Source organism: Homo sapiens, chromosome 6, assembly GCF_000001405.40.
Source record: "Homo sapiens chromosome 6, GRCh38.p14 Primary Assembly".
NCBI lineage: Eukaryota > Metazoa > Chordata > Mammalia > Primates > Hominidae > Homo > Homo sapiens.
This window is the reverse complement of record NC_000006.12, coordinates 27,330,043-27,345,730: the sequence shown is the minus strand read 5'-3', so window position 1 is coordinate 27,345,730 and position 15,688 is coordinate 27,330,043. Positions and strand designations below refer to the sequence as shown.

Genomic DNA, 15,688 nt, shown 5'->3' with positions numbered 1-15,688 from the left:
TCAAGCAGAGAGCAAGCCCTCATCAGACACCAAATCTGCTGGCACCTTGATCTTGAATGAAATTTCCAGCCCTCAAAACTGTGAACAATACATTTCTGTTGTTTATAAATTACCTAGTCTAAGGTATTTTGTTATAGCATCCTGAATAAACTAAGACAATAGATGTCGGTCTCCATAATAATTTCTAACTCCTATACTTAACACAACTGTCTTGGAATTTTTTAACTTGATATGCTCAATTATCTCTAGCAACTGACCACCAAACTCCAGCTATGGATACTGGACCTTCATGCATAATTTATTCTGGCATGTTCTTCCATAGCTTATTCAAAAATAACTTTGGAAATAACTCTCCCATTGAAATAGTGAATCACTTAGTTGGTTTGGTCTTCATGAAGTATCAATTTGGTTTTTCCTGTTTATGAGAGGAGCCTGTTAGTCTTTATTAATGTAAAATAACTTCTTCCATTTCTCTTTACATGCATGTTTTAATATACTGAGGTTATTTGTTATACCTACTTGATTTCCATTCAGGTTTGGCTCTGTACTCAGAGGTTGTTAGTATATAGGAATATGTCTTAGACTCAGAATATCAGTGGTTACACAAAGTCTAAGGACATAAGCCACCCAGAATTCACAGATATAAGAAGTCCATAATAGCAGGAACATAGGATCTTGCAATCTCATTGCTCCATCATCTTCAACCTATGCTTCCATTTTGAGGTTAAGGCATCTTGCCTGTTTTCAAGCTGGCAGGAATTGAAAGATGACATTTTCCCATTAGAGGCATGACCTACAGGTTTTGTGCAATATTTTAATATATATTCCATTGACCATAAATGAGTCATATTACCTCATGTGCCTGTGATGAGAATAAGGAAAGTTTCAAATGGCTTTAAAGGGAAGCATGATAATAAGCAGTCAGCAGAGGTCTTAAATTGATTGTATCTCTTACCAGTTACATTTCAATAGAAAATGACCTGGTTTCAGCTGGGTGCATTGGTTCATGCATATAATCCTAGCACTTTGGGAGGCTGAGGAGGGTGGAAAACTTGAGCTCAAGAGTTTGAAACCAGCTTGGGCAACATGGCAAAACCCTGTCTCTACAAAAAAAATATATAAATTAGCTGGGTGTGGTGATGTGTGAAAAGAAAATGATCTGGTTTCATCATAAATTCATCGATCATGAATTCAGGCAGGAGGGTAGGTTGGTAGGTTAGATGTCCCAGTAGGTTAGCACAATCTTTGGAGAAGTGAAAAGGCTGAGAGAAAGTGCCTCTATGGGGCAGGTACATGCTCAGAAGGTACAGCCATGTTCAAGATGTGGGAGATTGGCCTTTTCCCAAAACGTGGTTTTGAGCTTAATCTTAAATTATCAACTATTAATAGACCTTTCTTCCCAAGTGATGTGCCCAAATCTGGGCAGCAAGCCGAATACGAGCACCTCCAAAGCAAACATATTACAAAGGAAATCTAAATCATGCTTCAAGAAAGGTGAAGGTTTGTTGCTTTCTTAAGTACCCACGTACTCTCCACCCAAATCTGTCAGGGACGTTGGAGCATTTGTTTTACTCTAACTTACCTGGAAATCAAAGTCAGTTCCCTTCAGTCTATTACAGACATGAAACTTGTTAACCAGACTCAATCTGGTGGACCCCCCCAACAGGATAATGTTGAAGAGTATATCCATTATCTTAAATGGAATGCACATTTGCGAGAAGCAGTATAGAAAATGTTTAAGGGCAGGCCAGGCGCGATGGCTCACGCCTGTAATCCCAGCACTTTGGGAGGCTGAGGCGGGCAGATCCCAAGGTCAGGAATTCAAGACCAGCCTGGCCAACATGGTGAAACTCCATCTCTACCAAAAATACAAAAATTAGCCGGGTGTGGTGGCACGGACCTGTAGTCCCAGCTACTCGGGAGGCCGAGGCAGGAGAATTGCTTGAACTCAGGAGGCAGAGGTTGCAGTGAGCCAAGACCCGGCCATTGCACTCCAGCCTGGGCAACAGAGTGAGACTCCATCTCAAAAAAAAAAAAAAATGGTTAAGGGCACCAGTTTCTCCACTTGACAACTGAGTAACTTTTGGTCAGTTAATATAACCTCTCAGAGGTAGTTCCTTCATCTGTAAAATATGCATGATTACCTACACAGAGTTTCATTAGGGGTTAAATGAGATGATATAAAGTGCCAGATACTTTGTGGGTATTTTATTATTATTGTAATTATACAATATAATAATGAGGCCTGGGTGCGATGGCTCATGCCTGGAATCCCAGCACTTTGGGAGGCCGAAGTGGGTGGATCACCTAAGGTCAAGCATTCGAGACCAGCCCGGCCAACATGGTGAAACCCTGTCTCTACTAAAAAATTACCAAAAGTTAGACAGGCATAGTGGCATGCACCTGTAATCCCAGCTACTCATGAGACTGAATCAGGAGAATCGCTTGAACCAAGGAGGCAGAGGTAGCAGGGAGCCAAGATCGCACCATTGTAATCCAGCCTGGGCAACAAGAGCGAAACTCCATCTCAAAAAAAAAAAAAAAAAAGACTTAGAGAAACAAAAGTACATATTCATGAGTTGTAAAATCCTACAATATTGTTAAATATCTGTTCATCTAAAATTAATAGATTAATGTAACTCCAACTAAAATCTCAAAATTTTATTGAGTTTAATAAGCTTTTCTAAATATTTTAATGAAAATGTAAAGAGCCAAGAATAGCTAAAACATTCTTGATGAAGAAGGAACTAAGAGAAAACTTGTTCAACCCTGTGTGAAAACTTCATTTAAAGCTTTGTAAACTGACAGTGTGGTATCGGTACAAGGATGGACAAATGGACCAATGGACCAACAAAAAAAAAAGCACATTTGGTGGATAATAAATGGGATACTGTAGAAGTGTAAGAAAAGAAAGAACTATTCAGTAAATCATGCTGACATAATTAGATATCCTTATGGAAAATATATCACACACATCAAAATTTCAGGTGCAGCATTTAGAAGAGAATATAGAAAATATCCACAGGACTTTTGGATAGGAGAGGATTTCTTAAACAAGGAACAACACATAATGATACTAAATATTAGGGGAAAAGATGAATTCAATGACATTAAATTTGTAAGTTAAGAATAAATGAAATAGGCCGGGTGCGGTGGCTCGTTCCTGTAATCCCAGCACTTTGAGAGGCTGAGGCAGGCGGATCACGAGGTCAAGAGATCGAGACCATCCTGGCCAACAAGGTGAAACCTCATCTCTACTAAAAATATAAAAATTAGCCTAGTGTGATGGCAGGCGCATGTAGTCCCAGCTACTCAGGAGGCTGAGGCAGGAGAATCACTTGAACCTGGGAGGCAGAGGTTGCAGTGAGCCGAGATCATGCCACTGCACTCCAGCCTGGCAACAGAGTGAGACTCCATCTCAAAGTAAGTAAGTAAGTAAATAAATAAATAAATAAATAAATAAATAAATAAATAAAATAAAGAACTATATTCATCAAAAGAAACTGAAAGTCACAGGTCAGAGAAGTTATTTGCAATATAAATAATTTACCCAGAATTGACATGAAAACACAGAATATATAAAGAACTTGTATCAGTCCATGAGAAAAATATAGACAATTCAATAGAAAAATGGGGAAAAACAGAGACTTCCCACAAGATGAGATCCAAAATGGTCACATTGAAAGTTAATAGTTCTGTTGGCTGGGTGCGGTGGCTCACGCTTGTAATCCCAGCACTTTGGGGGGGCCGAGGCGGGCGGATCACGAGGTCAGGAGATCGAGACCATCCTGGCTAACACTGTAAAACTCCGTCTCTACTAAAAATACAAAAAAATTAGCCGGGCATGGTGGCGGGACCTGTACTCCCAGCTTCTTGGGAGGCTCAGGCAGGAGAATGGTGAGAACCCGGGAGGCGGAGCTTGCAGTGAGCCGAGATCGCGCCACTGCACTCCAGCCTAGGCGAAAGAGTGGGACTCTGTCTCAAAAAAAAAAAAAGAAAAAAAAGTTCTGTTTATATATTAGTTATGAAACAAACCACTCTAAAAGTCAGTGGCTTAGTATAACATTTATTTTGTTCACAAACTTGCAATTAGATCTGAGTGCCATGGGGTCAGCTTGTCTTTGATTCACTGTGCATGAGCTATGGCTGCTTGAAGTTGGGCTCAAATTATCTGAAGATTCCAGCAATTAAATGTCTGAAGGTTGATTCTGGCTGTTGGCTATAACCTGAATTTGGACTCTGATAGGATCAGCTACATGTAGGCTCTCCACACTGCTGCTTGGCTTCCTTGCAACATGGTGGCCAGATCTCAAGGACAAGCTGAGAGAGAGAGATTGGGGATGAATGAATATGTGAATGCATCAGGCAGAAGGTATTTTGCCTTTTATCATTTAGTCTGCGATTTCAGGAATGGTGTCACTTCTGCTTCACTCTTTTTGTTAAAAGCAAGTCATTAATTCCACTCCATAGTCAAAGAGAGGGGAATTAGACTCTACCTTTTGATGGGCAGAATGCCAAATAATTGGTGGACATATTTTAAAACAACTACAGCAATCACCCGTATTAGAAATTAGGAAATTGCAAATTAATCCTGTAATTAGATACTACTGATCTTCTACCAGAATTGCTAAAATTAAAAAGACAAAAAGTAATCATTATTGGTAAGGATGTGAAGTAGTAAGAACTTTCTTTTTTTTTTGAAACGGAGTCTCGCTCTGTTACCCAGGCTGGAGTGCAGTGGCGCCATCTCGGCTCACTGCAAGCTCCGCCTCCCGGGTTCACGCCATTCTCCTGCCTCAGCCTCCCGAGTAGCTGGGACTACAGGCGCCAGCCACCACGCCCGGCTAATTTTTGGTATTTTTAGTTTCTCCGTGTTAGCCAGGATGGTCTTGATCTCCTGACCTGGTGATCCGCCCGTCTTGGCCTCCCAAAGTGCTGGGATTACAGGCGTGAGCCACTGCTCCCGGCCCAAGTAGTAAGAACTTTCATCACTACTACTGAGAATCTAAATTGATAAAACCACTTTAGAAAACAGTTGGATATTATTCAGTAAGTTAAGGATATACATATCCAATTATCCTAGATATATATCCAAGAGAAATGTTTGCACATGTGCAAATATGTACGAGAATGTTCATAGTAGTATTGTTTGTATAACCAAGAACTAGAAACAACCTGCGTGCTCATTTACAGAAATTGGATAGTGTTGAATGCAAGTCAACAATGACAACGGACAGGTCAGAGATATGTACAATATGAATGAATCTTATAAAAATAATTTTGTGAAAAGGCGACACAAAAAGAAAGTATGATTATACTTATGTAAATTTCAAACCAAACAAAATTATGTTGTATTGTTCAGGGATATATGTGTAGGTGGTAAAATGTATTAAAATGTAAATAAATGGACTGGGCACAGTGGCTCATGCCTGTAATCCCAGAACTTTGGGAGGCCGAGGTTGGCAGATCACCTGAGGTCAGGAGTTTGAGACCAGCCGGGCCAACGAGGTGAACCCCTGTCTCTACTAAAAATACAAAAATTAGCCGGATGTGGTGGTGTGTGCTTATAATCCCAGCTACTCGGGAGGCTGAGGCATGAGAATCACTTGAACCTGAGAGGCGGAGGTTGCAGTGAGCTGAGATCACCCCAATGCACTCCAGGCTGGGCGACAGAGAGAGGCTCTGTCTCAAAAAAACAAACAAAAAAAAAGAATGTAAATAAATGATTACCATAAGTCAGGATTGTGATTTTCTGTGGGAGTGAAGAGAGTGTGCAAGGCAGAGGTTGTGAATGGAAGAGGCATGACAGCGTTGCTCTATTTATCCTGAGTTATGGTTAAACATGTGTACACTGTAAAACTACTTTTCAAAGCTCTACACGTAGGTCTTATTTACTTCTCTGTATATTTCACAATAGAAAAACATAAACACGGAAGCTTTTTATATATTAATGTGGAAAGAGTTCCAAAATATATTGTGAAGTATCAAAAGCAAGGTCCAGAACATATGAATCTATATTTGTATTTATATGCAAGTAGATAAAGAAGAATAGACAAGAAATTAATAATAGCAGAAACCTCTGGAGGATGAAGGAAAGGGTAGAAACCAAGTAGGTAGGTGACGGATGGGAGGAAACTTTTCACTGTAACTATTTATTTGTCTTTTAAACTCTGTGAGTGTATTACCTTTTCAAAATATAAGCCAAATTAACAAACAAAATCTCTTAAAGCCCTATAAGAGACCTCAGAGAAAAGTATGTCTTCTTAGAACAGATTCCCACTCCCTCAAGGCTTCATGTGTTATCTTCATTCTTAGGAGCCAGGAGCTCAGGAGTCAGTGTTTGTTTCTGGACAGAGAAAAGGTTTGGAAAGAATTAGGGATTACGCGGATCAATACCTGCAGCTCCCCAGATGGGACTGTAAGTCTCAGATGCTTAGTCCTACTGCAGGGTCAAGCTTTAACTTCTCATACAAGCACTGACCAGCATGGTGGATCAATGTGATTAAACAGCCCTGTGGTTAGCAATTTGGTCAGGTTTACACACATAATCACAACAGGGAGCTATACAAACAGAGTTCAGAACATTTAGCAATGAACAGACCATTCCTGTCCCCTTTCAGGAAAAACTTATGTATTGAGTGTTTCCTTGTACTCTGGTGAACCATTTATTTAACAAATTATTAATGAGTAGCTGCTACATCACAAGTACTCTGCTGGGCACTGGGGCTATGGCTGTGAATAAAATGGGCAAAACTTCCTCTCCTCATGGATTTTGTATTCTAACGTGAAATGCAAAGAAATGAAATGAATAAGTAAAATATGTAATATACTAGATAGTGATAAGCATTACTTAGAAAAATAAAGCAGGAAAGATAATAGCAATGGCTGGTGTTTTTTTTTTTTTCAATGTTTTGTATTTTTAAAGATGTCGAACAGGAGAAGTCCCCACTGAGAAAGTGATATTTAAGAAAAGACCTAAAGGGGATAAGGAGAGGAACAGGGCACATATTTGGGAAAAGGAGTTTCCAGGCAAACAGCAAGTGCAAAGGCCTGAGGCAGGAGTATGCCTGACATTTGAGGAAGAGCAAGGGGGTCTTGTGGCTAGAGGGGAAGAACAGGGAGAAGAGCCCTCACAGGCCACTAGAAGCACTTTGGCTATTAAATTGAATGAGAAGGGAACCCTGGGAGAGTCTTGAACAGAGGCACTGCTGCTGCATTTAGAATACATAGTAAGAGGGCGGTGATAAATAGAAGCAGGGAGACCAGTGAAGAGCATATTGTGAAAATCTGTGTGAGATGTGATGATAGATTTTCTAGCATGGTAGCAATGGAAGTGGTAAAAAAAAAATGGTTAGGTTATGGATATATTTTGAAGGTAGAGCTGATGGGATATAGGATCTGAAGGAAAGAGCAATCACAGATGATAGCACGGATGGACTGGCTGTTTATTGAGATGGGGAAGATTCTTGAGAAGCAAGCCTGGAAGAATAACCAGGAGTTTATTTTTTTGAAAGGTAAAAAATGCTTGTCAAAAAAGCAGCTGCAGACCAGGCACCAAGGCTCACACCTGTAATCCTAGCACTTTGGGAGGCCGAGGTGGGTGGATCACCTGAGGTCAGGAGTTTGAGACCAGCCTGGCCAATATAGTGAAACTCCATCTCTACTAAAAATACAAAAATTAGTTGAGTGTGGTGTCATGTGCCTGTAATCTCAGCTATTCAGGATGCTGAGGCAGTAGAAACGCTGGAACCTGGGAGGCAGGGGAGGTTGCAGTGAGCTGAGATCGTGCCACTGCACTCCAGCCTGGGCCACAGAGCAAGACTCCGTCCCCCCAAAAAAAAAAAAAAAAAGGTAGCGAGTCTGGTGTGTGAAGCAGCATTCCAAGATGGAAAGAAGCATTTGTATATATATGGTATTTAAGGACTGAGCCCTGAGTATGCTAATATTTAGGGTAGGATCAGGTAAGCGATCATTTAATTTATGCATATAATAGTAAGTACTATTAATATAACTAAAATAATCTCAGGAATCCTGTGTATATTCCAGGAGCTTCTAAAACCACTCTTGGGGAGTCAGCAAAAACTTTCAGAAAGAGGTAATGGGTTATGTCTAAACTGAGATCTGAAGGACAAGTAGGAACTGGCAAATAAGAAAAGGGGAGGACCCTCCAGTGAAAATGCAACTGCAAAGTCCACAAGCAAGAGAGGACATGAAACAATCAGGAATTTCACTGTCCCTTCCACTTCAACTTCTCTGTCACACTTGTTCTGTCGGAGGAACGACTACAGGAGTTTTTGGAAAGTTAAATTGTAGAGATTTAAAATTGGGGTTTGGTGGGCAATATTTATGTGGCTTCTAGTCACTTCTGTGTGGAAGAAAATTATTTGGCATATAGTCAGGTAACTCCTAGAACATACCAACTCAGAGGCAGCCTCAACAAAAGCCCAGTTGCCTGAAATAAGCTCCGGTTTTCAAACACAGGAACTCCTGGTTCCTGTCAAAACGGATCCAAACGTTATCCAATCAGAAATGAAATTCTGAAAGTCTGGCTCCCTTCCATGCAAAGAAAACCCTTTGAGATTTTTGATAGGAGGTGGTTAAGACACTTGCTCCCTGAGGCAGAGGTGTTAATTCCATAGCTCCCCCGGTTCTTCTCAAGCAGGGTTTCCCGAGGGCTTTGCTTGCTGGGCTCCTCCTGGATTCTCTCTGTAGTTCCTCCTCTGAGCTCAAGGAAGCTTTTGAAGAAAGGACTTCAAAGGTCAAATATTTGACAGATTGGGACTGCGTAGAGATGGAGGGACTGAAGACACCTGCTTCTTGAAGGGGCCAATTTTAAAGAGGCAGAAAAAGGGAGGAGTGAGTAAGGAGGAAGGAATGAAAAAGACTCAGGAAAACAATGAAACCATCTTCATGTTGGAAAAACAGTAAAAATTGAACGGAATATTAGCAGTGCTACCTATTCGTAAGCAGCGTGGCACAGTAGAAGCCTGCTGGGCTCATGACCTCAGAGACTGAGAGATCAAAACCATCCTGGCCTACAGGCAACTCAGAGTTTAAATCTACTTCTGTATTTTCCCTAAAAGTCTGATAATCAAATCAGTGATGGCACTCCATGGAAAGATATCACTTGATAAATTTCTGGTAGTTGTTTGCCTATGACACATTGCTCCAGGCCTAAAAATTCTCTCCTCTCGAGCTCCCAACATGGAAACAATTGGGAATACTAAGTTAGAGCCTCCATCCATCGAGGTGGACTTGCATATTGTGTACAATTTCTTGGAGGAAAGGGGATGACAAATTCCACATTGACTTCCATTACACCTTTCAGTAAAGGGGCTTTAAAATTGTTATTTACCTATTATGTTTTGATTATGTACTAGCAGTAGATGCAAATATAACACAATCCAGAAAAACTATTTTTAACACACATTTTGGGTAACAGGAAATAACAATGGACTTCAATATTTATACCTATATTTGGTCCAAAGAAGTATCATAGAAAGATCAAGAAAAAACTACAAAATGACATTGTACTGGGATAAAAATTCTATAAGAGACAGGCAATGGCACTATGAATGCAGAGAAATAAAGGATCAATGTAAAATCTTCCACAATTAAAGAGGTAGCAATGTTCACCTCTCTCTTTTAAAAGGTTGCTGGTAAGTATTAAATTACTGTGGTTTTTAGATTCCTATGATACAAGTCACTATATCCTTCAGAAAAATTTAAACTTAATGAAAAACGTTAGATGTCCACTGAAAAAATTGTGGTAGGTATCACGTTTGTCAAAATTCTTTTAGACAGGCAAGAACACCCCAGAGCAGTGAAAAGTACAAAGTAGGCCCATCACAGTCACCACGACATTCTCTTCCTTTTTAATGACTTGCTTTTTTCTTGCACCAAGAAAAAAATAATGGGAGATTTTATGAGATTTGTCAGGCTCTTACCATTGCTTTCCACTGGTTGCTTCCCACTTTTTTTTTTTTTTTTTTTTTTTTTTTTGAGACGGATTCTCGCTCTATCACCCAGGCTGCAGTACAGTGGCGCGATCTTGGCTCACTGCAATCTCCGCACCCCCCGGCTTCAAGCAATTCTCCTGCCTCAGCCTCCTGAGTAGCTGGGATTACAGGCATGCACCACCACGTCTGGCTACTTTTTTTTTTTTTCTTTTGTATTTTTAGTAGAGGCGGTTTCACCATGTTGGCCAGGCCGGTCTCGAACTCCTGACCTCAGGTGATCCGCCCGCCTTGGCCTCCCAAAGTGCTGGGATTACAGGCGTGAGCCACCGCTCCCGGCCAACTTCCCACTTCTCTTGTTTTTGTTTTTTAATTGTTTCTTTGTTCCTCTTTGTGTCTTTTTTGGTTATTTCTTGTTGCGCAGTAAATATGACACTGCTGACGGATTTAACTAAACATTACATAAATATTTATTAGGGGCAATCAGTTGTTTTCTTGTTTATTTTTCTTTCCACGAACCACACAAATAAGAATTTGGTTTTTTGATGTTGCTTACATTTCTTTTCTATCAACCTGAAGAAAACATAAACGAATGGTGGTTGAACTGATTCTGTGGAACTTCCACTGAATTACTCTTTTCGCATGTAAGATCACTGAACCGTGATAATCATTGATCCTATTTGTAGAACTGTATGAAACAGTTCCCTAAGGAGCCTGGGTAGCTCAGTCGGTAGAGCATCAGACTTTTAATCTGAGGGTCCAGGGTTCAAGTCCCTGTCCAGGCGCTAAAAATGCAACTTTTACTTGCTTAGAGTGAGGAAACATCAAGAAATGAGTTGAGTTTGACCTTAGCCAGTAGCAAAGATTTGAGAACAGAGGGCTAGGTGAAGAGTTATCTTTTTTTTGGGACAGAGTCTCACTCTGTAGCCCAAGCTGGAGTGCAGTGGCACCATCTCGGCTCATTGCAACCTTCGCCTCTGGGGCTCAAGCGATTCTCCTGCCTCAGCCTCCCAAGTAGCTGGGACTACAGGCGCGCGCCACCATACCTGGTTAATTTTTTTGTATTTTTAGTAGAGACGGGGTTTCACCATGTTGCCCTCGGTGGTCTCCAGCTCCTGAGCTCAGGCGATCCACCCGCCTCGGCCTCCCAAAGTGCTGGGATTACAGGCGTGAGACATCGCTCCTTGCCTGAAGAGTTCTTAGACATGACATCAGAAATAATTCGTGAAAGAAAAGTTGGTTAATTGTGTATGTGACTAGCAATTCGATGAGAGTCCTCGGGCTCCAAGCCCGAGTGGCGAGCACTTTACCAAGGAAAATCAAAGAGGGCAGTCCTTCAGTCTTAGTGTGGACAGGGAGATAGAGTAAATGAGAAAAAAAAAATACGAGCATGCTAGCCTTAGCCCATGTTCCATCATCATCCAAAAGCTTACATTACTAATGATAAAACATTTGCAATATTCCAGAATGACCCTGTCTAGCGTCATCATAAAGGAAGCTACAAACGAGAGCTGGTGTTCAGGGACTTCCTAAAAGCTCTGTTCCCTGATTGATATAAGCTACAAGAAGAGGAAGATCTTATCTTTATTAGTTTATTATTATTTTTTCGTGTTTCTGTCAAAACGGCGCCAAAAGGGATCCAATCGAAATTGCAGCTGTCATGTAATAATTTGAGCTACACATCAGGTTTATCCTCTTTATTTCAGGGGCACCGTTTTTGTTTTGCTTAAAATCTTGTGCCTTTGCAAGCAAATGAAAAAACTCTCATTTGATCATTACATATTTATACATGTATCGAAATATCACTCTATATCCCATATATACGTACAATACTTACTGTCAACTAAACTTCTTAAAATTACACTGCTATCACGAACAATTTCATTAAAGTCAGAAGTTGGAAGTTGTCAAGCTCATGATAATGGATACAAGTTTTGCAACATTCAAATTTTTTGCTAGAAAGCCCCAATCTTATCATTGGTCACAAATACTGTCAGTTGTTTTCCTTGAAGTGGCAGGCTCACTTGGTTAATTAAAAATTAAAAAAAAAAAATCATGTCTGTCAAATACCAAGTCTTAATAACCATAGCTTCTTAATCATTCTTTCAAATAAAAATGGTGTTTTCTGAAAAAGCCACTAGTTATGCTTGCAACGGAATAAGTTGGAGGAGTGCTTTTTCGGGAGATAACATTGTGCTGAGGTATGCAACAGAAGTCCTTTATGTATACTTCCCATTTCGTCACACAGAACACACACAACTCGAGTTGAACTTTAATAAAATTAATCATTTTTACTGCATCAAGGGGAAAACATCTCTTCTACGGTTGTCTATGAAATTTTTTGACAGAAACAAATAAGACTGTTAACACGATTCCTCTCCGGTGGCAGCTGCGTTCGCTCCACGACTGCCTGGATTCTACTCGAGAAGACTACACCTAGTGTTTTGCTTGGCGCCCTCCTCCTAGGCTCGCTATGATAAACGAGTGCTTGCTAAGAGGCTCAGACGATCTTTGGCAGGTTGGAAAAGCACAGATCTGGAGGTTATGACCTGAGGCCATCTGATTATCGGGTAGCGAATCTTCGACTTGCTTGGCAGAGATAGGGACAGTGTAAACGATCAGATACAAAATGAAATAATTAGACAATGAAAATTTTGTCGGTACTGAAAGGTGATTTTGATGATTGAAATTAAGATCAGTGGTCTTCAGAAACCGCTTAGCAGAGTGGCGCAGCGGAAGCGTGCTGGGCCCATAACCCAGAGGTCGATGGATCGAAACCATCCTCTGCTATGAGTTTTACAGCTAAATCGACACGCAAAAAACAAAAACCAAGTCCCTAGGTTTTCATGCATTCAACAGTTTCTGAAAACCCTCATTTCTGCTTCTGCTCTTTGTTATGTGTTTCTTTCCCACCTTTGAAATCTCACCATTCTCCCAAAACTCACCTACTTCACTGATCCACACCGTCCTACATTGGAAAATTCCTTTCCTCCCAGGTGTCGGACAAACAAAAGCATACGCTCAGCTGAGATGCTTTTTTATTACTACGTTGTATAAACCCACATTTACTTCTGTTAATTGCCAGGACATTCTCTTCCTTTATTAATTATTTGCTTTAATAAGTATTTGACAACATATAATAACTTTATTGTTTTAAACTAGTTGCTCTCCACCTCTCTGCCTTTGTCATTAGTTTTGTTGTTTTTCTTGGTCACCAGAAAAGTCTTTTTTTGGGTGCGAATGTTAAGTTCAATAACTATTTGCTGAAGGCAATCAGTTGGTTCCACCTCTTCAGTCTTACCTTTTACAAATCTTAGGTAAATGAGTAAGGACTGTTGTATTGATCCTATTTACATTAATCCTATATAAACCAGTTTGATTTCTTAGACTTAGTGCAAAAAAAAAAAAAAAAAAAAGAAAGAAAAACAAACAGGTAACAGCTCACTAGCGAATACAAGTAATGTTCAGAGTACATGAATACACTTCTGTTCAATGAATTGACTCCATGGAATTCAAACCACCTCCTTAGCTGTCTTTTCTGAGTCCAATAATTCATTTACAATACCAGTCAACATTAGTGATATGTGCTAAAATCATTTCTCAATATGAATAAGCATATCTTCTTAGGACCTATGTGGCTTGGTTGGTACAATACCAGACTTTTACTTTGAGAGTAAAGGGGTCAACCTCTTGCCCAAATGTAGTGGCAGACCAAGTGCAGTGGCTTACACCGGTAATTCCAGCATTTTGGGAGGCAGAGGCAGGTGGATCACTTGAGGTCAGGAGTTCGAGACCAGTCTGGCCAACATCATGAAACCCTGTCTCTACTAAAAATACAAAATTAGCCAGGTATGGTGGTGCATGCCTGTAGTCCTTGCCACTCAGTAGGCTGAGGCATGAGAATCGCTAGAACCAGGGAGGCACAGGTTGCAGTGAGCCGAGATCATGCTACCACACTCCAGCCTGGGCAACAAAAGCAAAACTCCATCTCAAAAAACAAAACAAAACAGATGTAGTGGCGTTTTCTGGTTTGTGCAGTAAGGTTTCTCTCTATGTATTTGAGTGGGCATACTTAAGAAACCATACCCGAAGTGTCTCATACATACTTGGATGTGATTTAAATGCTAAATTCTGGAACCCTTAGGCCCTTTTGGAAGGTGACGAGTGTATTTTGTGAGAGAGACTGGGGTCATAGGTGGACAGAGGTCCTATCTGGTAGGCAGCCTCTAAGATGACCCCCAATAATCTCTACCTCCTGGTATTCTTGCCCTGGTGTAGTTCCCTATGTACCAGGGGTGGTCTTTGTGTCTAATGTAAGTGATAGATAAGCTCTAGAGGGAAGCCAGTTACTATGTCACCAGCAGTCCTGTTTAGTAGCCTATTTGGGGAGGGAGTGAGCCTTCCTGCCAACACCCACTAGGGAGATTGGAAGAAGATCCTCCAGACACAGTCAAGCCTTACGATGACTAGAGCCCTAGCCTGGCATCTTGATTGCAACCCCAGGAGGAACCCTAAGCTGGAACTACCCAAATACAACACTTTGATTTTCAAGTTACAGACACAGTAAGATAATAAATGTGTTGTTTTAAACCACTACATTTGGAGTTATTTGTTACAGCAATTGATAAGCAATACAAATCTCAAATAAGTTAAGTTTATAACTTAAGGCTCCCTGGACTATTCAGGAAATGCACTTCCAGGATGCCGATCTACTGTAGGTCACCTTTGTGGCTTTGATTTATCAAGATGAAGATATTTTCTACTTCTTTTCTTTACTTGGTGCATTCCTAAGTGACAAGACTACTTTTCGGGCAGTTCACTAGGGATGATAGTTGAGTTTTCTCTCTAGATTATTATTAATCTGCATGTATGACACTGAGGACGTGTAGAGTGGTTCTCCATTTTCAGCAGGTCCTAGTGACTTCGGTTTTCCTCAATTTAGAAGCTGCCAAAGCATAAGCCCAAATTTGCCTCCATGAGCAAGAGCTCTAAAAGCATAAGCAACTGGTTGTTGTGGTGCTCTGCTTATCTGTGTTCTCATTTCCTTTTACATTTGTTTTACATGTCTCTTAGGTTTCTTTAATGTTTTATCACTTCATTGTCTAAAACAAACCTTTAAAGAATTGATTTAGAACATATTTTAATAAAAGTACAAATCATATGGGTATAGGTAAATGACTTTTCACACAGGAAGCCTATGAGTAACCTCCATCTAGATCAAGAAATAAAATATTACCAGCACCTCAGAGACTCCCTTTATGCTGTCTTTCAGTCACTTTTGCCTTCTTCCTCTAAGGTAACAACCATCCCAACTTCTAACAGCAGAGTTCACTTCTTCCTATCCTTACAACTTATGTAAATGGAGTCGTATTGTTTTCCCTCTTTTGTATTTTTCTTTTACTCAAGTATGCCTGTAAATTAATCATTGTTACTAAATGTAGCAGTAATTTCATTTTCATGGCAGTACAATGTTCATTGTATTTTTACTAACCAATTTATTCTATTGCTGATAGACATTTATGCTGTTTCTATTTGGGGGCTATTACAAATAAACATCAAAAAACAGGAACATTTTTGTATATGTCACAGTGTACATATGTATTCATTTTGTTAGATTTATACACAGGAGTGAAATACTTTCACCTTTCACATTTACATTTAAAATCCATCAATATTAACTTTTGTTTATATAATTTATAGGTCAAAACTTATTTTTCCCCATTCGATATCCA

General features: G+C 40.1%; 2 non-coding genes across 2 annotated transcripts, besides 1 other annotated feature; both read left to right on the top strand.

Moving 5' to 3' along the window:
* The first annotated feature begins 10,668 nt into the window (after window positions 1–10,668).
* On the top strand, window positions 10,669–10,741 carry TRK-TTT6-1 (tRNA-Lys (anticodon TTT) 6-1). The gene has a single exon. It is a non-coding gene; the product is annotated as a tRNA-Lys (tRNA).
* Window positions 12,671–12,750: a silencer, noted in NCBI's record as "silent region_17024". NCBI's record gives its function as "represses an Ori minimal core promoter by ATAC-STARR-seq in GM12878 lymphoblastoid cells {active_cell/tissue: GM12878}" and the evidence as "EXISTENCE:reporter gene assay evidence [ECO:0000049][PMID:35858748]".
* Window positions 12,675–12,746, top strand: TRX-CAT1-5 (tRNA-iMet (anticodon CAT) 1-5). The gene has a single exon. It is a non-coding gene; the product is annotated as a tRNA-Met (tRNA).